Source organism: Homo sapiens, chromosome 17 (genome assembly GCF_000001405.40).
Source record: "Homo sapiens chromosome 17, GRCh38.p14 Primary Assembly".
NCBI lineage: Eukaryota > Metazoa > Chordata > Mammalia > Primates > Hominidae > Homo > Homo sapiens.
The window spans coordinates 48,105,486-48,133,048 of NC_000017.11; the positions used below are offsets into that span (position 1 = coordinate 48,105,486).

At 47.5% G+C, this 27,563-nt stretch overlaps 1 protein-coding gene across 8 annotated transcripts, besides 2 other annotated features; it reads left to right on the top strand.

Moving 5' to 3' along the window:
• The first annotated feature begins 2,088 nt into the window (after positions 1-2,088).
• SNX11 (sorting nexin 11) lies at positions 2,089-18,116 on the top strand. 8 transcript variants are annotated; one of them, NM_001439148.1, is made up of 8 exons: positions 2,089-2,111; positions 5,223-5,282; positions 6,546-6,600; positions 7,089-7,175; positions 7,816-7,916; positions 13,219-13,314; positions 13,489-13,701; positions 15,750-17,260. In NM_001439148.1, exons 3-8 carry the CDS (start codon positions 6,559-6,561, stop codon positions 16,021-16,023), a joined length of 813 nt encoding a protein of 270 aa, NP_001426077.1. In that variant the 5' UTR covers positions 2,089-2,111; positions 5,223-5,282; positions 6,546-6,558; the 3' UTR covers positions 16,024-17,260. The 8 variants fall into 8 exon arrangements, with proteins under 8 accessions (NP_001426077.1, NP_001426078.1, NP_001426076.1 ...); NM_001439150.1 differs by lacking the exon at positions 2,089-2,111 and adding an exon at positions 2,281-2,353 and having other exon boundaries at positions 6,546-6,626; NM_152244.3 differs by lacking the exon at positions 2,089-2,111 and adding an exon at positions 2,281-2,353.
• Positions 2,287-2,446: a silencer, noted in NCBI's record as "silent region_8650". NCBI's record gives its function as "represses an Ori minimal core promoter by ATAC-STARR-seq in GM12878 lymphoblastoid cells {active_cell/tissue: GM12878}" and the evidence as "EXISTENCE:reporter gene assay evidence [ECO:0000049][PMID:35858748]".
• Positions 3,981-4,154: a silencer, noted in NCBI's record as "fragment chr17:46186828-46187001 (GRCh37/hg19 assembly coordinates)". NCBI's record gives its function as "represses an EF-1alpha promoter that drives an FKBP-Casp9 reporter gene in an ReSE screen in K562 erythroleukemia cells {active_cell/tissue: K562}" and the evidence as "EXISTENCE:reporter gene assay evidence [ECO:0000049][PMID:32094911]".
• Positions 18,117-27,563: the final 9,447 nt, after the last annotated feature.

Genomic DNA, 27,563 nt, shown 5'->3' on the forward strand with positions numbered 1-27,563 from the left:
GATGGTCTCAATCTCTTGAGAGTTCAAGACCAGGCTGGGCAATATAGTGAGACCTCATCTATACAAATAATAATAAAAAATTAGTCGGGCATGGTGGCACACACCTGTGGTCCCAGCTACTTAGGAGGCTTGGGTGGCAGGATCACTTGAGCCCAGGAGGTTGAGGCTGTCTTAATATTAAGACATGTGAGGCTAGGCACGGTGGCTCATGCCTGTAATCCCAGCACTTTGGGAAGCCAAGGCGGGTGGATCATGAGGTCAGGAGTTCAAGACCAGCCTGACCAATATGGTGAAACCCCATCTCTACTAAAAATACAAAAATTAGCTGGGCATGGTGGCGCGTGCCTGTAATCCCAGCTAGTCAGTAGGCAGTTTCTTGAGACTTTCCTGATGAGATCAGTGATGAATTTAATAAATGTGATTTTTTTTTACATTGAATAAATGCATCAACATTGGCTGATCTGCATAACTCTGTACCAGTATTTTCTAAATGGCTTGACTCCCTATCACACTTAACCTTTAAGAAATGACTCCATCTCCAAGGTGGTGTGTACTTAAAAATAAATAAATAAACACTTCCAGTCTCGGCAACATAGGGAGACTCTATGTTGTATAAAATTTTAAAAACTTAAAAAATTATCTGTATAAAAATTTTAAAAATTAACCGAGTATGGTGGCACACGCCTGCGGTCCCAGCAGCTCCAAGGGCTGAGGAGGGAGGATGGCTTGAGCCCTGGAGGTTGAGGCTGCAGTGAGCTGTGATCCTGCCACTGCACTCCAGCCTGGGCAACAGAGCAGGACCCTGTCTCAAAAAAGCAAAGAAAAGTTACCATTTGTTGAATTTGGGTAGTATCAAAGAAGAGTATTCAGAATTGTTTGAGAAGGCTAAAAATACTCTTCCTTTTCTCAACTACATAGCTATATAAGGCTGAATTTTCTTAATGTACCAAAACAACAGAGCACAACAGAGAAAGGGGAAGCACATAGGAGAACCCAGCTATCTTCCTTTTTATTTATTTATTTTTTACAATGGAGTCTCCCAGGCTGGAGTGTAATGGCGCGATCTTGTCTCACTGCAACCTCCGATTCCTGGGTTCAAGCAATCCCCCTGTGTCAGTCTCCTGAATAGCTGGGATTACAGGTGCCCATGACCACGCCCAGCTAATTTTTGTAGTTTTAGTGGAGACGGGGTTTCACCATGTTGGCCAGGCTGGTCTCGAACTCCTGACCTCAGGTAATCCACCCGCCTCCGCCTCCCAAAGTGGTGGAAGTACAGGCGTGAGGCACTGTGCCCGGCCCCTTTCTTTTCTTTCCTCTCTTTTCTTCCTTTTAGCTCTCTCTCTTTTTTTCAGACAGGGTCTTGCTCTGCAGTGATCAGGGCTCACTGCAGCCTCGAACCCCTGGGTTCAAGCCATCCTCCTGTCTCAGCCTCCCGAGTAGCTGGGACTACAGGCGCGTGTCACCATGCCCGGCTAATTTTTAAAATATTTTGCAGAGGCGAGGGTCTCCCTAAGTTGGTAGGGCGTGTCTCAAGCCTGGCCTCAAGCGATCCTCCCGCCTCGGCCTCCCTAATAGTATTGGGATTACAGGCGTGAGCCACCGCGCTAGGCTTGCTGAAATTATCTTTAAATAAGTTGTTAAAAGACCACCAACACATTGAACGGCTTTCTCTTGCTCCCTAGCTGCATGATATTGCTTCGAGTTTGTTTCGGTGTGAGCAATCTGAGTCGCCGGACCCTCTCGAGTCTGACTTTCACTCTGACAATCGGTCCGTGGCTTTACGAATCTGAATCGGAGTCCCCTTGATAGCTCCGCTGGGGAACAGCAAACTACGAGGTTCAAATGGTGGCTCTCGGGACTTAGTGAGGATCCAGGGATGTGGGCTTCCTAAAGCCCCGAACCTCCCACACTGCAGACTATCCCTCGCATAGCGAGAACAAGAGTAACAACCCCCTTACACCCCTCTGCTCCCGGGACCCACTGGCTGCCCGTCGCTGACGCCCCCTGGCCGCTGATTGGCTTCCCCTGACAGTGGGCGGAACGCGGCCCCGGATTGGATATCCATTCGCCGTCCCTCACCCGGCACCTGCGTGCACTCTCCGGCGTCCCAAGTGAGTGGAGGGGGGATCCCGACTCCAGTCCGGGGCCTTGGCCAGCGGAGCCGCGCTATTCGGAAGCGGGAATCCCACTCAGAGCCCGGGCCTGTAGGGGCGGGGCGTCCCGGGCACCCGGGATTGGGGCGTCTCCCGTCGTGCACCGGGGCACCGGCGACTCACCCGGAAGGAGAAGCCGTGATCTGGCTATATGGTGGGGCGCGGGCGGTGTCGCTGTGGGGAGCTGGTGCTGTTCTCAGGTGAGAGGGCGTGGGCGGGGCCTGGGGAGTGGGTGCTGCTCTCCTGTGAGGGGGCGTGGGCTTGAGCGTCAGTAGTGGCACTCGGGATGGTGGCATCGCTTTACATCCTAGGGAGGGACTCTCTTACCACCCGGGATTAAGGCAAGGGCTTGCTCGGGATCCAAGAAAGGAAACCCGGCTTTTCAGTTTACCTTCAAAGTGTATCTTTCACTTCCTACCCCCCAAGCTTAATCGGAAAGAAAGAAGGACCATGTGGACCTTTCGGTCCTAGTTTGTTGAGAATGGAGAAAGAGTGGCCGTAGTAAAAGACTCTGGGGACATTTACTTAAATGGCTAAGACTGGGGGCAATGGCGAGTATTTTACGTGGACACGGGAGACTTGGCGGTAGATTGTGGTCGCCTTTGTTACTTACCTTCCAAGTGAAAGGCGTACGATTAGAGATGGACAAAAAGATGGAGCATAACTGCTTGGTTGAGATCACACAGAGCTTGGTCAGAACTGGGAGCTTCCTCTGTTTAGTACCTGTGATATTTATAATTGGAGCGAGAGCTTTTTGAATTGCTTTCTGCCATCTGGCACTAAAGGCTCAAGATTGAGTAAGAAGGGACGGTAGTCTCAGTAGTTCCATCTACTTTTATCACCTGATTTGTTTCTTAACCTGTCTCTTGAAGTTGTTTAAATGGGAGAGAAAATAAATGGTGAGACTAAAGCCTTGCATTGTTACTATATTAGAAAGCTTTACGATGAATCTACTTTGTAAACAGCAAACAATCGGGTACTCACCAGAGCTACTGGTGCTGGTACAGGTGAAGAAAGTAAAGGAAACTTCAGATGTGGTTGAAAGGGCCCAGAAAATGTAGTTAACACTAAGTTATGTAACTAGCTATGGTCACTGACTCTAGCCTTATTTGGATGAAGTACAGATCCATCTCCCAGATCAGAGAACTAAAGTTAGGAACTTCCTGCTGCTTCTCCAGAGGCAGAACTGAGCTTTTTCTTTTGAGGAGTGGTATCTGTGGGGAGGAATCTAATGGAGAAGAGTGGTTGCTAGAAATTACTACTTGGTGTCTAGGTTTTTGTATTTGTTCCAGTGTTTATTTGTTTGTTTTTTGAGACAGGGTCTTGCTCTGTCGCCCAGGCTGGAGTGCAGTGGTGTGATCTTGGCTCATTGCAGACTCCGCCTCCTGGGTTCCAGCAATTCTCATGCCTCAGTCTCCCGAGTAGCTGGGAGTACAGGCCTGTGCCACCATGCCCAGCTAATTTTTGTATTTTTAGTAGAGACGAAGTTTTGCCTTGTTGGCCAGGCTGTTCTTGAACTCCTGGCCTCAAGTGTTCTGCCCGCCTCAGCTTCCCAAAGTGTTGGATTACAGGCGTGAGCCACTGGGCCAGCCCAGTGTTTTTAAGGACAGTTACAACTGAAACTTTCTTTTTTTTTTTTTGAGACGGAGTCTCACTCTGTTGCCAGGATGGAGTGCAGTGGTGCGATCTCGGCTCACTGCAACCTCCACCTCCTGGGTTCAACTGATTCTCCTGCCTCAGTCTCCCGAGTAGCTGGGACTACAGGCACGCGCCACCATGCCCAGCTAATTTTTGTATTTTTAGTAAAGAAGGGGTTTCACCATGTTGGCCAGGATGGTCTCAATCTCTTGACCTCGTATTTCGCCCGCCTCGGCCTCCCAAAGTGCTGGGATTACAGACGTGAGCCACCGCACCCGGCCCATCTGGAGGTTTTTTGTTTTTTGTGTTTTTTTTTTTGACAACGGAGTCTTGCACTGTCGCCTGGGCTGGAGTGCAGTGGCGCGATCTCGGCTCACTGCAACCTCCGCCTCCCGGGTTCAAGTGATTCTCCTGCTTCAGTCTCCCAAGTAGGTGGGATTACAGGCGCCTGCCACCACGCCCGCTAATTTTTTTTATTTTTAGTAGAGACGGAGTTTCATTACGTTGGCCAGGCTGGTGTCTGGAGGTTTTTAAAAAGCCAGTTCATAGCTATTTGTTTCTGAGTGGTATTGGCCCCAAAGGAAAGAAGAATTTCTTCATGAAGGTAGTGCAGGGCCCTATACAAACTTCCTGAGACCAAGGGTATGATGATCATTTCGTTCCTAAATTATGGTCCTGAATTTGACAAACCTTTTTCAAGGCACAAAAGATGTATGAGCTCCACTGAGTGGATGACTGTGATTTCCTTGTCATCGTCTTTCCCGTTGTTAGTTTTGTTTAAAGACACTTCAGAATATTTAACTCTCTGCTCCTGTGCTGGCAGTTTATCCAATGCCTGCAAAGAGAAGAGAAAAAAAAAACTTAAGGAGGTTCATTGTTCACAGCAAATAGGTCTGCTCTTTTTGGTCTCAGACATTTGACTGATATCTGGAATGTTATATATGGGTTGTTATGGAATTGGAATTTCCCACCTTTCAGTTCAGGACCCCTTGGAGGTGGTGGCTGCATCAGATAAAAATCAGATTGTCAGCAAGAATACCATTTAAGATGGTACTGAAATCACAAAACCTTAGGTTTGCTCAATATTGTGTAGCCCAATTTTGTCATGGACCATGCAGCTTCGTTTCTGCATGCAGTGTTTGTCTGTGGAGATACTTCTGGTATATTGGAGAGAATTGAAAAAGTGGTTTGCTTTGCTAATTTCATGGTGTAAATGAGTTCCCCTTCTTTTGAAATGTTAGCCTTGTGTTAGCAAAACATAAAATAGAAGGAAACTCATTACACAGTGTTCTAATGGTAAGGCAGAACTAATAAGAGAATGTGTTTAAAATTAATTGTGGGACTGTAAAAATGAGTGGGTATGTGAATGAGTACGGGATGGGGGAGGAGAGGGAGGGCTTAGAGATATTAGAGATAGTCTTGTTTTCCCAGGAGCCAGCCTGGATCATTTGTTGGCAGTACATATTGGCTGAAGTCAGTTTTCATTTCAAGGTAAATTGGAAAGGGAAATTAAACCTTATTGTTTCTCTCTTAAGAGAGAAGGGGGTGCAGGCGGCAGCCAGGGTGGATGCTGTTGGAATAGTTGTAGAAGTAACAAGATTAGTGCTGTATTTTAACAGAAGGTGACATCATGGGCCCCATTGGACTTGAGTAACCCCGTGCTGCAGCCTTCATGGTCCCCTTGTCGGAGTGGGTGATGTCGCTATACACGTGAACTGCCACATTGGGGAAAATCAGGGGCTGAGGCTTTAATGAATCTTTACAAAGGAGCAGAACGCATCCTGAGTCGACCTGTGCAGCTGTGGGGTGCTTGGACAGAAGTACAAACCGGATGGCATGTCAGGAGAGGAAGTAATTAGAACAATTGGCTCGGGTTCCAGAGTATGGATTGGATAAGGGGAAGGTCCCAACTGGGCAACCCACTCAGGTGCTCCTTGGAGTGCTCTAGCTCTATGATTCACCTGTGGGGAGTTGACTGGTTGTTAGTGAGACTGGGAGAAATGCAGAAGCATTGGTGTTTGTGGGGACTTGGTTGTCTCTAAACAGCCGGGAGGGGGTGCTGTTAGGCTCGCTTTCAAAGCTGTGATCTGGCAGGGCGTGGTGGCTCCCGCCTGTAATCCCAGCACTTTGGGAGGCCGAGGAGGGCGGATCACTTGAGGTCAGGAGTTCGAGACCAGCCTGACCAACATGGAGAAACCCCGTCTCTACTAAAAATACAAAATTAGCTGGGTGTGGTGGCACGTGCCTGTAATCCCAGCTACTCGGGAGACTGAGGCAGGAGAATTGCTTGAACCCAGGAGGCAGAGGTTGTGGTGAGCCGAGATTGTGCCATTGCACTCCAGCCTGGGCAACAAGAGTGAAACTCTGCCTCAAAAAAAAAAAAAAAATGCTGTGATGTGAGTGCTCACCAGACCCTGTTGTGCCTGCATTCTTCAAGGCAAAAGTTTTACATCTGGACCCGCCTGTTCTGGCTGCGTGTGACAAACTTTCTGTAGACTCCAACACGCTTTGGGGAGAGGTGGCCTAGTTGAGGGCCTGGTCTGAGAAGGGAGGCAAATCCCCCAGGGCCTTTTAGCTTGGCATTGAGCTAATGGGGATTTTTTTTTTGCTTCCTCTTAAGTTTTACAAGAACAAAAAGTGTTGCCTGGGTTTCCCCACGGGGGTCTATTAAAAACTTTCGGGGTTTTCCCTGGTAAAGAATGATAAGAACAGAGGCATACTAACCTTGATCCTGTATCCTCTGTCCCTCATCAGATGTTTCCTTCCAATGGGCTTTTGGTGTAGGATGTCGGAGAACCAAGAACAGGAGGTAAGAGTATGGTCTGCAGAGAACAGGTGGGTAAAAGTTGGAGAGGGGATTTAGGAGGAAAGAGGACATAGAGATGCAAATCATTAATTATTACCTGCAGTATTACTTTGGTGGTTCTGATGAGCTCAGAATAAAGTCAGGAGAAAGAAATCAACAGCAGAGGCATTCCTAGGAAATTGGGGTTCCATTCTGACTAAATTTTCCTTTGATTGGAATATACTGGAATGTAAGCTTCATGGGGGCAGGCACTTACGTCTCTTGTTCATGCTTTATCCCCAGTGCCTATAACAGTGTCTGACACGTAGTGGGGCTCAGTAAAAATTTGTTGAATTGAGTGACTGAATTGAGTGAATGAAAGTTGAATTGAATAAATGAAAGTTGGTGTTGAGTGAATGAAAGTTGGTGTTGGGTGGAAAAATCTAGCGACCTGTGTTGTCAGAGCTGCCTTGCTGTGTAGCTGAAGCTGAGGGAGCTTTTCTTACCTACAGGAGGTGATTACAGTGCGTGTTCAGGACCCCCGAGTGCAGAATGAGGGCTCCTGGAACTCTTATGTGGATTATAAGATATTCCTCCATGTGAGTACATCAAGCTTCTGTATTGGGGTCAGCGCTCTGCAGGGCTGAGGGGCTTGTACTGAGGTGTAACCTTTTTTTTTTTTTTTTGAGATGGAGTTTTGCTCTTGTTGCCCAGGCTGGAGTGCAGTGGTGTGATCTCGGCTTACTGCAACCTCCGCCTCCCAGGTTCAAGTGATTCTCCTGCCTCAGCCTCCCAAGTAGCTGGGATTACAGGCATGTGCCACCACGCCCAGCTAATTTTGAATATATATTTTTTTAGTAGAGATGGGGTTTCATCATGTTGGCCAGGCTGGTTTTGAACTCCTGACCTCAAGTGATCCACCCTCCTTGGCCTCCCAAAGTGCTGGGATTATAGGCGTGAGCCACCGTGCAGGTCAAGGTGTAACCTATTTTTGAGTGTTTCTGGTGGACCCGAGACAGAAGACTTAGAAGAAAGGGAGGGAGGAAAGGAAAGAGAGCTTGAGGTATGTCTTTGAGTTGCTTTTGGGCTGCCTGGTGGCACCTTGTTCTAGTTGGGGACCTGATCAGGTCTGTGGCCTGATGGCATGGCTCCTCAGTGAAAGCAATGATAGGGAGCTCATGTGAACTTGTCTATTTCCACTAAACCCTTTTCATGTACTTCATGTGCTTTCATGTATAGACCAACAGCAAAGCCTTTACTGCCAAGACTTCCTGTGTGCGGCGCCGCTACCGTGAGTTCGTGTGGCTGAGAAAGCAGCTACAGAGAAATGCTGGTTTGGTGTGAGTTTGCTCTTGCTTCCTTCTTGGGTCTGTGACTGGCTTTTTGGGTGCTTATGTAGGAACTGGAGTTGACAATGAAGAGAACTTGCAACATACCAGGCACTAAGGAAATTGGGAAATATGTTGTTTCTTTTTTTGTTTTTTGGGTTTTTTTTTTTTTTTGATGTAGGGTCTTGCTTTGTTACAGAGGCTGGAGTGCAGTGGTGCAATCATGGCTCACTGCAGCCTCAACCTCCTGGGTTCTAGCAATCCTCCCACCTCAGCTTCCCAAGTGGCTGGGACTACAGGTGCATGCCACCACACTTGCCTAATTTGGAAAATATTTTTGTAGAGATGGAGGTCTCCCTATGTTACTAGGGTGGTCTTGAACTCCTGGGCTCAAGCAGTCCTCCTGCCTTGGCCTTCCAAATTGTTGGGATTACAGGTGTGAGCCACCAGGCCCGGCTGGGAAATAATGTTTTTTTTTTTTTTGAGATGGAGTCTTGCTCTGTTGCCCAGGCTGGAGTGCAGTGGCATGATCTCATCTCACTGCAACCTCCACCTCCCAGGTTGAAGCAATTCTCTCTGCCTCAGCCTCCCAAGTAGCTGGGATTACAGGTGCCCACCACTATGCCTGCCTAATTTTTGTATTTTTAGTAGAGGTGGGGTTTGTCCATGTTGGCCAGGCTGGTCTCAAATTCCTGGACTCAAGTGATCCACCTGTCTCGGCCTCCCAAAGTGCTGGGATTACAGGCGTGAGCCACCACTCCTGGCTGGGAAATATGTTCTTTTTTTTTTTTTTTTGAGACTGAGTTTTGCTCTTGTTGCCTGGGTGCGATCTCGGCTCACCGCAACCTCCACCTCCCGGGTTCAAGAGGTTCTCCTGCCTCAGCCTCCTGAGTAGCTGGGATTACAGGCATGCGCCACCACTCCTGGCTAATTTTGTATTTTTAGTAGAGATGGGGTTTCTCCATGTTGGTCAGGCTGGTCTCGAACTCCTAACCTCAGGTGATCTGCCTGCCTTAGCCTCCCAAAGTTGCTAGGATTATAGGCGTGAGGCACCATGCCCAGGCCTTCTTTTTTTTTTTTTTTTTTGAGATGGAGTCTCGCTCTGTCGCCCAGGCTGGAGTGCAGTGGTACAATCTCGGCTTACTGCAACCTCCGCCTCCCGGGTTCAAGCAGTTCTCTGCCTCAGCCTCCCGAGTAGCTGGAATTACAGGGGGTTACCACCATGCCCAGCTAATGTTTTGTATTTTTAGTGGAGGTGGGGTTTTACCATCTTGGCCAGGCTGGGTTTTTTTTGCTTTTTTTTTTTTTTTTTGAGACAGAGTTTCACTTTGTTGCCCAGGCTGGAGTGCAGTGACACCCTCCACCTCCCAGGCTCAAGCAATTTTTGTGCCTCAGCCTTCCGAGTAGCTGGGATTACAGGCGCCTGCCACCACGCCTGGCTGACTATTTTGTATTTTAGTAGAGATGAGGTTTTACCACGTTGCCCAGGCTGGTGTCGAACTCCTGAGCTCAGGCAATCCACCCATCTCCACCTCCCAAAGTGCTAGGATTACAGGTGTGAGCCACTGCGCCCAGCCTGGGCAGGCTGGTCTTAAACTGACCTCATGATCCACCTGCCTTGGCCTTCCAAAGTGCTGGGATTACAGACGTGAGCCACCATGCTCCGCCTTTTTTCTTTTTTTTTTTTTTTGAGACGGAGTCTCACTCTGTTGCCCAGGCTGGAGTACAATGGTGTGATCTCGGCTCACTGCTACCTCAGCCTCCTGGGTTCAAGCGATTCTCCTGCCTCAGCTTCCCGAGTAGCTGGGATTACAGGTCCCTACCCCCACGCCCAGCTAATTTTTGTGTTTTTAGTAGTGACAGGGTTTTACCATGCTAGCCAGGCTGGTCTCGAACTCCCAACCTCAGGCAATCCGCCTGCCTCGGCCTCCCAAAGTGCTGGGATTACAGGCGTGAGCCACCGCACCCGGCCAGATATATGTTCTTAAATCATATTTTCAAGTCAGTGAAAAAAGTAGAATCTAATTTCGAGTATTTTTACCTAACAAAGCCATACTAACATCAAAAATATTTTTCTTTCTTTATATGCATATATGTCTAGAGCTCAACAAATATACAGCTAACATTTTAAACAGTTTAAATCTGCTTATCAGAAAATTTTAAGCACCTGGACTTATTTGACAGCTAGTGTTTCCATCCACTTCACATGTAAAAATAATGATTTTTTTTTCTCTTTTAATACAGAGGTCCTTTTCCAGAGACATATGAGAGCCTAGGGAAGGCAGTTATTATTTACTCCTCACACCCACCTGCCAAATAAGTCCTGAAAGTGGAGAGAATTACAACAGTGATTTTGCTGTAGGATGGTCACTGAATACTCAGTGGTGATAGGTGGCCTGTTGAGTGACCAAGTCAGTTAGTTAACATGTGGAACTGATGAGGCTGTTGTCCTGGGGCAGGCCCTAATAAACCAGGTGAAACTCCGTTCCCCTGACAAATCCTATATCCTCCAGCCTGGCCTGTTTTTTTTTTGTTTTGTTTTTCTTTTTCTTTCTTTTTTTTTTTTTTTGAGACAGAGCTTAGCTAAGTGAGCCTCTGCCGGTCGCGGTGGCTCACGCCCAGCACTTTGGGAGGCTGAGGCAGGTGGATCATGAGGTCAGGAGTTCAAGACCAGCCTGGCCAAGATGGTGAAACCCCATCTCTACTAAAAATACAAAAAACTAGCCGGGTGTGGTGGCAGGTGCCTGTAATCCCAGCTACTCAGGAGGCTGAGGCAGAGAATTGCTTGAACCTGGGAGGCAGAGGTTGCAGTGAGCTGAGATTGTGCCACTGCACTCCAGCCTGGTGACAGAGCGAGACTGTCTCAAAAACAACAACAACAACTACAAAAAAATGTGAGCCTCAGCAGCCTCAAACGCCTGGGGTCAAGGGATTCTCCCACTTCAGCCTCCCAAGTAGCTGGGACTACAGGTATGTGCCACCATGCTCAGCTAATTTTTGTATTTTTTGTAGAGAAAGGTCTCACTTTGTTGCCCAGGCTGGTCTCTCAAACTCCTTGGCCTCAAGTGATCCTCCTACCTCAGTCTCCCAAGTTGTTGGGATTACAGTTGTGAGCCACTGCGTCCCACTCCAGTTTCTTCCTTTTTAAAAATAATAGTTGATGGTGGGTGTGGATTTCTTTTTTCCTTTTTTTTTTTTTTTCTGAGGCGGAGTCTCGCTCTGTCACCCAGGCTAGAGTGTAGTGGTGCAATCTCGGCTCACTGCAACTCCCAGGTTCAAGGGATTCTTCTGCCTCAGCCTCCTGAGCAGTTGGGATTACAGGTGTACACCACCACGGCTGGCTAATTTTTGTATTTTTAGTAGAGTCGGGGTTTCACCATTTTGGTCAGGCTGGTCTCCAACTCCTGACCTCATGATCTACGTGCCTTGTCCTCCCAAAGTGCTGCTATTACAGGTGTGAGCCACTGCGCCCGGCCTTTTTTTTTTTTTTGAGATGGAGTCTTGCTCCTGTCTCATCCTGCAGGCTGGAGTGTTTGCAGTGGCACGATCTCGGCTCACTGCAACCTCCACCTCACAGGTTCAAGTGATTCTCCTTCCTCAGCCTCCTGAGTAGCTGGGATTACAGGGGTGCACCACCATGCCCTACTAATTTTCTTTTCTTTTCTCTTTTTTGTTTTTTTTTGAGATGGAGTTTCGCTCTTGTTGCCCAGGCTGGAGTGCAATGGCTTGATCTCAGCTCACCACAACCTCCGCCTCCCAGGTTTAAGTGATTCCCCTGCCTCAGCCTCCCGAGTAGCTGGGGATTACAGGCATGTGCCACCACGCCTGGCTAATTATGTATTTTTATTTTTATTTATTTATTTATTTAATTTTTTTTTTTTTGAGACAGAGTTTCACTCTTGTTGCCCAGGCTGGAGTGCAAGGGTACAATCTCAGCTCACTGCAAGCTCCGCCTCCCAGGTTCACGCCATTCTCCTGCCTCAGCCTCCCGAGTAGTTGGGACTACAGGCGCCCGCCACCACGCCCGGCTAGTTTTTTCTATTTTTTAGTTGAGATGGGGTTTCACCGTGTTAGCCAGGATGGTCTCGATTTTCTGACCTCGTGATCCCCACCCACCTCGGCCTCCCAAAGTGCTGGGATTACAGGCGTGAGCCACCGCGCCTGGCTGTTTTTTTTTTTTAAAGGAGAGATGAGGTTTCACCATGTCGCCCAAGCTGGTCTTGAACTCCTGAGCTCAAGTGATCTGCCCACCTCGGCCTCCCAAAGTGCCAGGATTACAGGCATGAACCATGGCACCAAGCTGGGAGTGGGTTTCATAAACAACATAGTGTGGCTCGGCTTGGTGGCTCACACATGTAATTCCAGTGCTTTGGGAGGTTAAGGAAGGAGGATCACTTGAGGCCAGGAGTTTGAGACCAGCCTGGGCAACAGAGCAATACTGTCTCTACAGATACATAAGTAAACAAATAAATAAATTAGGTGCACACAGTGGCACGTACCGGTAGTCATAGTTATTCTGGGAGGCTGATGCAGGAGGATTACTTCATCCCAGGAATTTGAGGCTGCGGCGAGCTATGCTCACGTTTATGCTACTGCACTCCAGCCTGGGCAACCTGGAGAGAGCAGCTTGGAAAGCAATACCTTGTCTCTAAAATCAAACAGACAAAAATAATGTATCAGCATGGGTTTTATAGTCATAGATCTGGTTCTGATATGAGCTTTGCTGCTTATTAGCTGTGTAACAGTGAGACATTTACTTAACTTCTCTGATCTGAAGTGAGTTAATATCTTTCTCACGGGGTTTTGGGATGACTAAATGAAATCATGTTTATAAAACATTTAGCACAGTCTGGCTTGACACTTGGCATGCAGTCAATGTTAGCACCACCCCTTATTAAAAGCTAATTGGGGCCAGGCACGGTGGCTCATGCCTGTAATCCCAGCACTTTGGGAGGCCGAGGCAGGCAGGGATCACGAGGTCAGATCAAGACCATCCTGGCTAACATGGTGAAACCCCGTCTCTATTAAAAATACAAAAAATTAGCTGGGTGTGGTGGCCTGCACCTGTAATCCCAGTTACTCGGGAGGCTGAGGCAGAGAACTGCTTGAACCCGGGAGGCAGACGTTGCAGTAAGCCGAGATTGTACCACTGCACTTCAGCCTGGGCGACAGAGCGAGACTCCATCTCAAAAAAAAAAAAAAAAGCTATTTGTATTGATTAGACCTCTTTTTAAGGGATTTCCTTGATCAGAGGCCGGAATGACTATCTTAGATGTTACACTTATCATGGGTGTTATATCATGTGGCTGCACAGGCCTGTTCCTGAACTTCCTGGGAAGTCAACCTTCTTCGGCACCTCAGATGAGTTCATTGAGAAGCGACGACAAGGTCTGCAGCACTTCCTTGAAAAGTGAGTGGACAGAACGGCTGGTGCTGGCCACCAAGGGTGGAGGCAGGGGTGGAGGAATGTGCCAGGCAGGATGGAGCTCCCTGCTCAGGTAGCCAGAAGTTCTTAAGAGGATGGGGAATGGAGAGCAGTTCCTCAGGGTGATGCTCTGTGTTGTGCTACCTGTGTTTTTCCCAGGGTCCTGCAGAGTGTGGTTCTCCTGTCAGACAGCCAGTTGCACCTATTCCTGCAAAGCCAGCTCTCGGTGCCTGAGATAGAAGCCTGTGTCCAGGGCCGAAGTACCATGACTGTGTCTGATGCCATTCTTCGATATGCTATGTCAAACTGTGGCTGGGCCCAGGAAGAGAGGCAGAGCTCTTCTCACCTGGCTAAAGGAGACCAGCCTAAGAGGTAACTGGAGTACTCTTTGAGATAGCAGGGGCTAGGTTTGCTATAACCTGGACCAGAGAGGTGTCCATTTGTTAGGGAAAGTAATGTCATAGCATTGGTAGCCTTTCACAACCTTTCTTGTTCTTTGGGTGCGTGGCTTTCTATCCAGGTGGGTCTGTGTTAACCCACCACTGGGTAGCAGGGGCTCCTACTGAAACCTGGGGAGAAAGAAGGGAAAGCTTTCTCATTTATTCGGTTTTTTATTCCTCCTCCCTCCCTTTTTATTTATTTATTTTTTTGTGTGGAGACGGACGCTCACTCTTTCACCCAGGCTGGAGTGCAGTGGCGTGATCTCGGCTCACTGCAACCTCTGCCTCCTGGGTTCAAGCGATTCTCCTGCCTCAGCTTCCTGAGTAGCTGGGATTACAGGCAAGTGCCACCACACCTGGCTAAGTTTTGTATTTTTAGTAGAGACGGGATTTTGCCATGTTGGCCAGGCTGGTCTCAAACACCTGACCTTAGGTGATCCGCCTGCCTCTGCCTCCCAAAGTGCTAGGATTATTGGCATAAGCCTGGCCTAATAGCTTTATTGACACACAATTTACCTGCCATAAAGTTTACCTTTTTAGATACAGTTCAGTAGTTTTTAATATAGTCACAGGGTTGTATAACTGTCAGCCACCACAGTCAATTTTAGAACATTTTCATCACCCCGAAAGAAACCCTGTACCCATGAGTAGTGACTCCCCTGTCCTTCCCTCCCCCCCAGCTCCTGGCAACCACTAGTCTACTTTCTCTGTCTATGCATTTGTCTATTTTGGACATTTACACAAATGGAGTCATATGATTTGTGGTCTTTTGTAACTGGCTTTTTTCATCTAACAATGTTTTCAAGGTTCATTTGTATTTTATCATGTGTCATTACTTCATTACTGTTTTTTTCTCTTTTTTTCCCCCATTTTTATGGCTAAATAGCAGTCCATTTATATGGTGCTATATACCACATTTTGTTTATCCATTCACTTGCATTTATCTGTTTTTTTTTTTTTTTTTTTTTTTGAGACAGAGTCTTGCTCTGTTACCCAGGCTGGAATGCAGTGGCATGATCTCGGCTCACTGCAACCTCCGCCTCCCAGGTTCAAGCAACTCTTCTGCCTCAGCCTCCCTAGTAGCTGGGATTACAGGCACCTGCCACCACACCCAGCTAAGTTTTTGTATTTTTAGTAGAGATAGGGTTTCACCATGTTGGCCAGGCTGGTCTCGAACTCCTGACCTCAGGTGATCCACCCGTTTCAGCCTCCCAAAGTGCTGGGATTACAGGTGTGAGCCATCGCACCTGGCCTTTTTTTTTTTTTTTTTTTTGAGATGGAGTCTTGCTCTGTTGCCCAGGCTGGAGTGCAGTGGCACGATTCAGCTCACTGCAAGCTCTGCCTCCCGGGTTCACACCATTCTCCTGCCTCAGCCTCCCGAGTAGCTGGGACTACAGGCGCCCGCCACCATGCCCGGCTAATTTTTTTTGTATTTTTAGTAGAGACGGGGTTTCACCGTGTTAGCCAGGATGGCCTCCATCTCCTGACCTCGTGATCTGCCCACCTCGGTCTCCCAAAGTGCTGGGATTACAGGCGTGAGCCACCACGCCCGGCCTCTTTTTTATTTTTTTAAATTGAGATAGGGTTTCACCAGGTTACCCAGGTTGGTCTCCACCTCCCAGACTCAAATAATTCACCATGCCCAGCCATTTTTTTTTTTTTTAATCGGGCAGCCTCCTGAGTCAGAACAGGCTCAGAGAGACTTCCCTTTCTGTTCATTTTTGTTTATATGTTCATACTTTTTTTTCTGAGACAGAGTCTCACTCTGTTGCCCAGGCTGAAGTGCAGTGGTGTAATCATAACTCACTGCAGCCTTGACCTCCAAGGCTCAAGCAATCTTCTGGCCTCAGCTTCCTGAGTAGTTGGGATTACAGGCACATGCCAACATCCCTGGCTAATTTATTTTTTTGTAGAGACGGAGTCTCCCTATGTTACCCAAGCTGTTCATACCTTTCTTTTCCCTTTCCCACTCTTTTCCAGTTGCTGCTTTCTTCCAAGATCGGGTAGGAGGAGCTCTCCCTCACCGCCTCCCAGTGAAGAAAAGGACCATTTAGAAGTGTGGGCTCCAGTTGTTGACTCTGAGGTTCCTTCCTTGGAAAGTCCCACTCTCCCACCCCTCTCCTCACCATTATGCTGTGATTTTGGAAGACCCAAAGAGGGAACCTCCACTCTTCAGTCTGTGAGGAGGGCTGTGGGAGGAGATCATGCTGTGCCTTTGGACCCTGGTCAGTTAGAAACAGTTTTGGAAAAGTGAGCTCTGGGTTCTGCTCTGAGATGGTCAGAGAAGATGCGGGCCAGGAGACTTACTCAGGTGGGACTGGGCACAGGGCAGGTATGTGGGAGGCTGGGCTGCTTAGTGTCTTCTAGTCACCTCTGCTTGGGCTGATTGACAGAGGTCAGTCATTACAGCCCCTTATGCCTCTTCCATGGGAACAAATACTGTGCAGATGTTTGTAAGTTAAACATAAGACACAGGGGCTGTTGCTTTTGAACAGAACCCTATATTACTCTCCTGGGATCTGAGTTTCTGCAGGTCATTTGTATGTAGGACCAGGAGTATCTCCTCAGGTGACCAGTTTTGGGGACCCGTATGTGGCAAATTCTAAGCTGCCATATTGAACATCATCCCACTGGGAGTGGTTATGTTGTATCCCCATCTTGGCTGGCTTCAGTTTTTGCTGTAGCCCTAGAGCACTTTGTTTGTGGGAGGCTGGCCTCTTGCCTACCTCCTTGCATGGACAGGGGGATGAATATTTACTTTCCCACCTCCTTGCTTTTTCTTTCACTGATACCACTGAATGGAACTGGTGCTGTGACTCCTGCTGCTGGGGATTTATGTCCCGAGACCTTAGCCTGGCTGAGTGGAGCCTGAGACCTGCACAACAGCTCATGGTCATGCATGAGAGAGAAGTGGCTGGCCACAGCCAGAGGGAACAGTAACAGCCCAGGGGCCTTTATTTTGGGAAAGGCTGTCCCGGGCTGTTACTGTCTCTTCTGGTTATAAAGCAGACATGTGGCCATCTTTTCCGCAGGGTTAGAGTGGGCTCCTTTCTTTTTGGAATCCTTTTCTTCTCCTTTGGTAGCAGCTCCCTGCCTCCAGGGCTTCCGCCACCAGCGTCTCTGCTGTGTTGCGCAGTGCAGTGGGGTGCAAGGGCTTTGTTTCTGCCTGCCTGAAAGAGAGGGCTCTGGGGATGGAGATGAGAAACAACACGCTCTCCTTCAGACAATGAGGCATTCTGTCCTCCTGCTGCCATTCTTCATCTCCACTGAGAGCCAGAGCTGGTAGGAGCCGAGTGCCACAGGCATTCTGCATTGCTCTACTCTTAGGTTTGTGTGTGTGATCCTTCCCCTCCCTGTCGCCCACTCCTCCCTCCTCTGGCTATCCTACCCTGTCTGTGGGCTCTTTTACTACCAGCCTATGCTGTGGGACTGTCATGGCATTTAGTTCAGAGTGGAGGGGCTTTGGCCTGAAATAAAATGCAAGTATTTAAGATTGTTGTTGCAATTTGTGTCTAACAAGCTGTAGCAGAGAAGGAGGGAGTGAGCGCTGGCAGTATTTCCTTTCATAAATCATGAATTTATCAGTGTGGAAATAATGCTTCAGAACTGTGCTCTGTAGCCCTCCTGCATTGTGTGTGCAGCTCAAGTTCACCACTGGAGGAAGGATTGTCTTCCAAAGAGCTGGGATCCAACTCTTCTCACAGTTCTGGGCGTGAACCTTGTTAGGTATAATTTACCTGATGCTGCTTCCATCCTCGCAGTCTGTCTGAGGTGCCAGGTGCTGAAAGAGAAATAAAGTTTGTCAACAGGCAGATGCAAAGCCCTGGCTGGTATTCATCCCTCTTTCCTGCCCGCCTCCCCTGGGTCTCTCCTTTATATGATGCAGCAGAGCAAGGCGAGGATAGAAAACCTACAGAGGCAAATCCAAAATGTCAGAAGAAGTTCATTTAAAAGGGGAAAAAAACTCCATGTGCAACCCTCACAAAAACCCGACAGATGCTAAGCTAATGGCATCCGCTCTGCCGATTGGTGGGGATGGCTCATGAATATTAATGAGCCCAATGCTCCAAATGGTGCAGCTGTGAACCCAGCTGTGCCTGAAGCTCTCTGATCTCGAAACTTCCAGACAGGAGCTGGAGGTGGTCTGTGTCAATTCCCTACTCAGCCAAAAAAACAGCAAGCTGGGTTGGCCTTCTTCTGTTTGCTCCTTTTCTTCCTGGAGTTGGTGCTCAGCAGCTAGTTCTGCCAGCCGGCTAGGCTGCTGGGACAGCAGGAGCCATTCAAAGACATGGATGTGATTTTTCTGACTCCCAGCTTTTTTAATGATCCATTAGCAGCATGCATACAACAGCACCTCAGTTAATCTAAGGCCAGGCACCATCTCTTTTCAGTCTCTCTCTTAACTGAGTATAGGCCTTGGAAGGAGAAGTCCTAGGAAGGAAAGCACTTTTCTAATAATACAAGCCTAGGGTCATCCGAAAAATAGCGCACATGAGTTTTCCTCTCCATCCAGATAGTGCCATAGGCCCCTCTTCTGTTTTGCTCTGTCCCTGCGTGTGCCCAGGTCTAGCCACTGTGGCCAGATGACCTCTATGAAAGATGGAGGATTAGCTGTGGGGAGTGGCTCATTGAGCTGTTTTGTAGGATAAAAATATTTTGTTTAGAATTTAGTTTTGAGTCAAGTTCTGTCCTGATGTAGTCACCTTTCTTCTGTCAGATACCTCCATGGCCCACATCTAGTCATCCATTACCCAGGATGACTGATTCCAAGCTTGTGGAGGTTGTTTGGTGGGAGGAAATGTGTTTGTGTGTGAGGGGGGTGTTTTCTTACATTAAAATACTAAGTTTTATAAACATAATTTTATTGGCCCTTCTCAGTGCCTAGCAAGGAAGGTAGGTTAGGTATATGCTCCTTTTTTCGTTGAGGAAACTGAGCTCAATGTTTTTGTGTGTGTTTTTTTATTTGTTTGTTTGTTTGTTTTGAGATGGGCAGCCTTTGCTGCCCAGGCTGGAGTGCAGTGGTACAATCTCGGCTCACTGCAACCTCCACCTCCCGGGGTCAAGCAGTTCTCCTGCCTCAGCCTCTAGAGTAGCTGGGATTACAGGGGCCTGCTACCACACCCAGCTAATTTTTGTATTTTTATTTTTATTTTATTTATTATGATTATTTTTTGACATGGACTCTTGCTCTGTTGCCAGGCTGGAGTGCAGTGGCGCCATCTTGGCTCACTGCAACCTACACCTCCCGGGTTCAAGTGATTCTCCTGCCTCAGCCTCCCGAGTAGCTAGGACTACAGGCACGTGCCACCACGTCCAGCTAATTTTTGTATTTTTAGTAGAGACGGGGTTTCACCATGTTAGCCAGGATGGTCTTGATCTCTTGACCTCATGTTCCACCTGCCTCAGTCTCCCAAAGTGCTGGGATTATAGGCGTGAGCCACCACGTTTGGCAATTTTTGTATTTTTAGTAGAGACGGGGTTTCACCATGTTGGCCAGGCTGGTCTTGAACTCCTGACCTCAAGTGATCCGCCTGCCTCAGCCTCCCAAAGTGCTCGGATTACAGGCGTGAGCCACTGTGCCCAGCCAAGTGTGGTTTTTTAAAAAGCATGTTTTTAGATGATGGTGGAATATGTTCACATGAGAGATACTTTCCAAGCTCTGTGAGACAAGTCCCCTACCACTCCAAAAAAGAAAAAGTCTACCACTACATTCAAGGAAAAAAACAACAACCCTGCAGGGCTTTTCAGAATTGTTCTCAGAAATCAGAGCTCTTTCACAGTTCTTAGTTTTCTCATGCTAAGGCCTTACATCCATACTACCGAGTCCAAGGTACCTCCTATCCTCTCTGTTAGCTTTGCTTGGGAGGTGATAATGACTTTTTTTTTTTTTTTTTTTTGAGATGGAGTTTTGCTCTGTTGCCCAGGGTAGAGTGCAGTAGCATGATCTCGGCTCTCTGCAAACTTCACCTCCCGGGTTCAAGTGATTCTCCTGCCTCAGCCTCCTGAGTATCTGGGACTACAGGTGTCCACCACCACGCCTGGCTAATTTTTGTATTTTTATTAGAGATGGGATTTCACCATGTTGGCCAGGCTGGTCTCAAACTCCTGACCTCGGGTGATCTGCCCTCCTTGGCCTCCCAAAGTGCTGAGATTACAGGTGTTAGCCACTGAGTCTGGCCTTATTAGAGATACGACTTCTTAGGGGGGAAAAACACTTCTATTTTAGCCATGACTGGATTTGGAGTTGGAAAGCTGGAGACCTCAAATCTCAAGATATAATAAACAGACAACTTATGCTCAAAATGTTAACAAGAACTACACTTCCTAGGAGACAGAGTCCTCCTGACTGAATAAGCAGAGTGAATAATTTTACTTTTCTTTTGTTCAGGGGAGATCTGGTCTATTTTCACAAGCAAAGGAGAAGGAAAAAAAGCCAAGGGGTACTTTCATGGTTGCCAAAGGGTCACAGATAATAAACAGAGGTGACAAAGCTAGGGTGTGAGAATTAGGAGACTACTGGGAAGTCTCTAAGGTTTTTTTCCCCTGGAAGGGCAGGAACACAAGATGCTTCTGGAATCTCTGGATTATGGGAAGCCACCAGCCAAAATTTCTTTTCATGCATGGCTGCATGGCTGTCAAGTCTCTCCTTCCTGTCCTTCAGCCAAGCACATTTTCTTTGATACCGTCAGTTCAGAAAGGGCCAGCCTGTTCGAATCCTGTAAGTGCTCTAGCTCTGTGTGTCCCTTTCCCTGGTGGCTGTGTTGGTGTGGGAAGCCTAGCCCACCCCACCAGCAGCCTGACCCGGATCCTTCCCGCAGAAGGCCCAGAACAGTGAATGCCTGAGGCAGTTTGTTGGAGGCAATGCAGCCTGCCTGCTATAAGCTGTGAGACTTAGATATATTCTACCAATTAGGGCACATCTGTTCAAAACGCTGAAAGGCGGGCACTGTCTCTTTAAGAGGCATCCCACTCCTCTCCTTGAGTAATGAGGGCTGGGAGCACAAGGGAGTCAGATGCTGATTAAACAGTCCTACTGCCGAGCTCTGTTAGAAAATTACTGTAATTATGATCTGGTCCCAGCAGAGGGATGAGTTCCAATCCTGCTAATAACCCTTCCAGGTGCCTCAGATTCAGGGCCCATGGGAGGCAGCGTCGACAGGGCTCTGGCTGGCACCAGGACCAGTGATGGCCCTCCTGTCTGGCCTGTGCTGGCAGAGACAACAATGACACTGGACCTCACTTCCTATTTTGGCCTCCTGAGAAGGCAGTGGTTTTTGGTTGCGTTTTTGTTTTATTTATTTTTTGGTTCTGGACAGAGCTCCTGGGAGTCATTTTGTATGAGAAAACTTTCCAGTAAATGAACACGGAGGACCAGGAAAATCACAGCCGAGAGATGGCAATCTGTCCTGAATCTCCCCACTTCTGCCTGGGGACTGTAGTCAACATACGAAAAGCATGTTGCCCGGCCCCAGTCCCACCAGTGCACTGAGGAGGGAACCAGAGCCGAACCCTTTCATCTGCAGCTGCCTTCTGCGTGGTGTTTCTTGATCTGAAGTACACAGCATTTGACTTGGTCCTAAGTGGGAGTTTCAAGCACTCCTCTTTTAGATTTCTGTCACAGAAAAGGGAAACAAGGGATAGTAATCACAGGGCTCAAGACACGAGAGAGACTGTAATGCGTCTCTGAACCGGCGAATATGGTCTTGCTCATTCCAACACATCGTAGTGCAAATCTGCAGCAGTGCAGGTGAGCAAATCTTAAAGGTAGAGCAAAGGGTTTTTAAGCCCTGCGGGATTTGTGGCATTTAAATGCTGTATCTTCTCAACCTAGCTGTAATCTCTATCACATAATCCAGCGGCTCAAGCACAAACTTCTAGAATGAGGGGTGGTTTCTCTGCTTTGTGCTAAACACACCCCAAATGCCCTGAGACAGCAATTCTCAACCAGGGGAGATTTTGCCCCCAGGGGATATTAGGCACTGCCTAGAAATATTTTTGGTGGTCAGAGCTCAGGGGTAGGGTAGGGGGAGGCCACTGGCATTTAGTGGGTAGAGGCCAGGGGTGTGGCCGGACATCCTACAATGCTCCCAACAACATGGAATTATCTGGCCTAAAATATGAATAATGCTGAGGTTGAGAAGCCCTGCACTAACAGAGTGAAGTAATCTGCTCCAAGTTCTGGTACCCTAAATGTGGAGATGTTGAAGAAATGAACTTCAATCTCCAGATGCTGCGTGCTTCTCTGGAGGTGGAACAGTTCATGACACGTCCAGAGGGCTGGTGGTGTGCATATGCCACCTTGGTGACTCACAGCACAGCAATGCGGGCATGTCTGATGGTGTGGAAAAGGGAAATGTCTGTAGCCTGCTTCCTGTTCCATGATGGGATGTGGAGGATAAAAGGTGACCAGCTGCTCACCATCAGGCTGCAAGTGTCTACAGTGGAACCAGATGTCCTCTTTGAGGACCAGCACTAGAAGCCTCTTGGAACACTTCTGTTACGGGAGGCAGGGAAGTGGCATACTATTGCCCGGTGCCACAAAAATGCTTCCTTCAGTGGCGCTTTGCCAGTTGGAGGGGTGGTGGACTGTGATGGGAACCCACGAGGGAACTGAATGCACACAGCCGCCGACAGCTGGCCAGCCCCACAGGCAGCTTGATGCCAAAGACACCAGGCCCCTCAGAATGCCTGGGCATCAGGAAAAGAAAGCCCAGTTGGCAGGGTCTGCCTAGAAACTAGGCCTGCAGGGGAGAGGACTTCATTAGAAGGGACATTGCCAAGCCTCATACCAGGAAAGCCAGGTCATCTTTCTCTACCATCCACTCCCCAGGTGACTGGGCACCTCATTTTGCCTTATTTTTAGCATGACCACACTTCCCAGTTTACACCTGCGGTCTTGGCATCATCATTAACTCCCCTTTCACTCTCAAAAATGTCTTCCTTTGGAGAATAAATTATACGATCACTCTGTTAATTGTACTTCAGTTTCCTCTGACACGGAAGTATTTTTGGGGGCCATTATATTTATAAAAGATTTTTGTACAGCATGGGCTAAATCTTAAAATATATCATTAATGGAATCCGAAAGAATGGTCATCAATTCATATAGAGGAGAAAAACAGCATGTTTCCTGAATAGTTAGTTTTTTATAGGGAAAAAGGGAGACTAATTCAAATCCCTTGAAAAAGAAGAATCTTTAGTTATAAATTTCAAAGTCCCTACCCAATCTCGGCAAGTTCTAATGGGAAATGAAATAGCTGGGCAGTAGGGAAGGGAAGAAGCAAGGGACTATGGTAATCCACAAACTAGAAAATGAGCTGGAGTCACTGGGCTGTGTCGCAGAGATAATCCTCTGTGTAGAGGTCTGCTTTTTTAAAACTCAGCCCTGCAGATTTTGCCGGTGCTCTGGGAGTTAACAAATCAACGCCATTCAAGATTTATCCTTCCAGAGCCACTCCTGGTGGGAGACCTGCGGGGAGGGGTTTTTGTTTTTATTTTTGTTTTTGTTTTGCCAAAGATGAAAGCACCACTGTCCCTGGCATCTGAGAGTTTTGTTAAGACATAAAAAAAAAAAAACAAAACACAACTTTGTTTCTTTTTTTTTTCATCTTGCTTCTCTTCAACTCCATCTTTCTCAGACTGGTTTTTAAAGGCAGGGGTCTTCCTCCCCAGCCACGTGCATTATCTTGCGCTTTGCATTGACACCACTGCTTTATTGTGATGCCAGGGACTGGCATGAAATGTGGATTTTGAAGATGTCTCACTGGAGATGTCTGACTGCAACAGAACTCGAGTAAGTCAATAAGCAAAGCAGCTGACAGATAATTTCAAGGGGCTTTCATTTTATTTCCTCTTCCACAGCAGAGTTTGTGATTTTGAACCAGTGGTCACAACCTTTAAGATCCTCAGTTTCATCATTTGCAAATACTAGCTGGTTATAAATAAGGTGGTGCAACTAGGGAAGCTAAAATTCTTAAAAAGGTTAATGGCAACTTGAGATCAATGCTAATTCCTTACATAATTCTGTTTAGATAAAAAAATCTGTCTCAGCTGGGCGCAGTGGCTCATGCCTGTAATCCCAGCACTTTGGGAGGCTGAGGCAGGTGGATCACGAGGTTAGGAGTTCAAGACCAGCCTGGCCAAGATGGTGAAACGCTGTCTCTGCTAAAAATACAAAAATTAGCCGGGCATGGTGGTGGGCACCTGTAATCCCAGCTACTCAGGAGGCTGAGGCAGAGATCGCATCACTGCACTCCAGCCTGGGTGACAGAGGGGAGAGTAGGTCTCAAAAAAAAAAAAAATCAAACAGGAGGGAGGGCACCTTGTCAACCCCACCTTTGACACTACTCTAGTTGAAAACAAAATCAACCCGGGTTTAGGGAATGAGACTTAATAGGAATTCTCACCTCTTTCCCATTTTTTATTCACCATCAAGAAAGATATAGTTGGCTTTGAATTAAATACAGATTTCTAAGAGATATACCAGGCCATCATATGGAAAAATTTAATATTGAGGTAATTGCAAAACAATATCTATGCTATTTTGCTATGTGGATGACAGGGAAAACACACTAGAAAAACGTATTTTTAATGAAATGTAGCTGAAATGTTGCTTTCGGAGCATTTAGTATTCTTGGATACCAGCTTGGACAATTCAGGCCAAACTGTACCAGCCCCAGGTTAGATTATCGACTGGGAGTCAGTACTTTCTGTGTCAATGATTATACATTTACTTCTTAAATTTAGGATTTTAGCTTTTAAATTTTCTTTTTACATAAAATCAAGGAAAAAAGCCTTTCATCTCCACTGCTCTCCTATTTCACTTGCCAGAACAATTGGTAGTGATTAAGAAGCCGTCCTACATATAATGTGGTTAGTTAAGCGGTCTAATGCCCCAGTTATCCAGTTAGTGGCAGGCAGTGAGGTGGGGATTTGGTTAGTAGAGCCAAACAGAGGAGCGGTAATCTAATTAGCCTGTTGCCATCTGAGGCCGTTGGCTAAGATGGGGGCTAACTGGGTGTGGAGCAGTTTTGCTGGGTGAGGTTTAGTTTCCAACGCTGTAGGAATCTGCTGCTTCCAAAAAGTCTCCTTTAGAACTATCCCCTAGCAGAGAATGTCCATCAGCCTGTAGATTGTCTCATCAACACATCAAACATGCTCTACCCAACCCCTGCCGCGCTTTTTTTTTTTTTTTTTTGCATATAACAATGTCAGAGACAGCCAGAACTACAGACCAGATTTCCAATGAGGTAATTTGTTTATATACTTTAGGACCAACCTAATTTCTTTTTCTGCTGAGTTTCACAGCTAGAAGGGCCAGAGATCTGAGTGTGGTCCCTACGGTGGGGTGTGTGGCGGTACCCAAAGACCTTTGCAGTTTGGCAAGTGGTTGTTTCCTCTTGGAAAACAGGTATAGAAGGGACATTTTATTTTAAATGCTGGAAGCCAATGGCCATATGATTTAGAGAGCATTGAACTCTGTAGGGAGTGAAGAAGTTACCTTTTTCTTTTCTTTTTTTTCTTTTTTTCCTGCTCTGTCGCCAGGCTGGTGTGCAGTGGTGTGATCTTGGCTCACTGCAACCTCCGCCTCCCAGGTTCAAGCGATTCTCGTGCCTCAGCCTCCTTAGTAGCTGGAATTACAAGCATGCGCCACCACACCTGGCCAATTTTTGTATTTTTAGTAGAGACAGGGTTTCATCATGTTGGCCAGGATGGTCTTGATTTCTTGACCTCGTGATCCACCCACCTTGGCCTCCCAAAGTGCTGGGATTACAGGCGTGAGCCACCACACCCAGCTGACCTTTTCCTTTTTCAGCCTCATCCTGTCCCAGATCCCGGCCCTTTCTCTTCTGGTATCCCCTTTTCTGATGTCTTTCAGCCACAGAGTGGTGGCACGATGATATTCTGGCCTCTTAGCCACCCAGCTTTTCAGATTTGGGTCCCTGGGTCTCCAGGGAAGGATGGGCGGGGGATGGAGGAGTGGGGGAGAGGTGGGTGGCAGAGGAGGAGTATAGAAGGGTTTGTGTTTGCTCCCTCTGTTAAACACTTTAGAATATTGCCCATTGTCCTTTCCTGTGGGATGGGATTGGTGCAAAGGCTCCTAAAACTGGAGGCAGTTGGTTCTCTTTGGTTCACCTGCTCATATGCTGCCACCTAGTGGTTCCTTCTCCTTTAGCACTCTGTGTGAAGGGTAGGGGGACGTTAAGGACACTACTATATTGCCTTTATCTCACTTGGGTTTTTTTTTCCTCCTAAACCTAAAATTTCCCCTTTTCATTCCATGCAGTTATCCATCATACACAAAACTGTTTTCTTCTTTTTACTCTTGGATCAGATAATCTGGAAATGAATAGTTGGTATAAGATCTATGTTTTTTTGAGTAAGTTAGAGCCCACTAACATCCCTGTTTGCCCCCTGGTTTCTCTTTTGTGATGTGAGATGGGCGTCTTACTCCAGTGCTGCAACATGTTCATTACAGAGGAGAGGCAGGCTACCACCAAGCCAGGGCTTCTCTGAACAGGGATTTCTTTTTTCTTTCTTTTTTTTTTTTTTTGAGACGGAGTCTCACTCTGTCGCCCAGACTGGAATGCAGTGGCGCGAACTCGGCTCACCGCAACCTCCGCCTCCCGGGTTCAAGCGATTCTCCTGTCTCAGCCTCCCGAGTAGCTGGGATTACAGGTGCATGCCACCATGCCCGGCTAATTTTTGTATTTTTAGTAGAGATGAGGTTTCACCATGTTGGCCAGGCTGGTCTCAAACTCCTGACCTCGTGATCTGCCCGTCTCGGCCTCCCAAAGTGCTGGGATTACAGGCGTGAGTCACTGCACCCGGCCAGTTGCCTGTCTTTCAAAATTTCTCCTGTAGAGAAATCAGGCAATAATAGCAGCTACCCTTATTGAACAGTTATTATGTGCCAGGCATTGTTCCAAGTACCATTACACATGTTAAATCATTTAATCTTCCTAATCACCTAATGATACAGTGAATAGAGTATATCCCTTCTAAGGTGAGGAAACTGAGGCATAAATGGTCAAATAACTTGCTCCAGAGAGCACAGTAGACAGGGAACTGAGATTTATTCCCAGGCTGTCTGGTTGCAGATGTTATGCTGTTAATCACTATGTTTTGCTGCCTCTTAATATGCAGGTAACCTGAGTGCTAGGTACAGACAACAGGAAAGGGAAACAGGGAGCCCTGTATCCATACTTGAGCCCTCCTCAGAGCATTTCCTCAGCCCCTACCTGGGAGGTGTTGTAGTGGAGGACACATGGGTTGTTAACTAACCCGAGGCCTGAAGAGGAACTCTTCAATGTGCTGACTCCAAGGCCTTGCTTCTGGTTCTGTCTCATTTTGGAGATTCAGCACATAGGAAAAAAACCAAGTAGCTGGGTGGGAGTGGTGGCTCATGTCTGTAATCCCAGCACTTTCGGAGGCTGAGGCGGGTGGATCACTTGAGCTAAGGAGTTTGAGAGTAGCCGGGCCAACATGGTGAAACCCCGTCTCTATAAAAATACAAAAATTGGCTGGGTGCAGTGGCTCAGCCACCCTGTAATCCCAGCACTTTGGGAGGCCGTGGTGGGTGGATCACTTGAGGTCAGGAGTTCAAGACCAGCCTGACCAACATGGTGAAACCCCGTCTCTACTAAAAATACAAAAATTAGCTGGGTGTGGTGATGCACGCCTGTAATCCCAGCTACTCGGGCGGCTGAGGCAGGAGAATAACTTGAACCGGGGACGGGGAGGTTGCAGTGAGCCAAGATTGCGCCACTGCACTCCAGCCTGGGAAACAGAGTC

Bases quoted from the DNA above. Each gene is read 5' to 3' on its own strand.
- SNX11 (NM_001439148.1), top strand. From the start codon at position 6,559: ATGGGCTTTTGGTGTAGGATGTCGGAGAACCAAGAACAGGAG. The intron at 7,176-7,815 runs GTGAGTACATCA...TTTCATGTATAG, and splicing joins ATTATAAGATATTCCTCCAT to ACCAACAGCAAAGCCTTTAC. The intron at 13,702-15,749 runs GTAACTGGAGTA...ACTCTTTTCCAG, and splicing joins AAAGGAGACCAGCCTAAGAG to TTGCTGCTTTCTTCCAAGAT.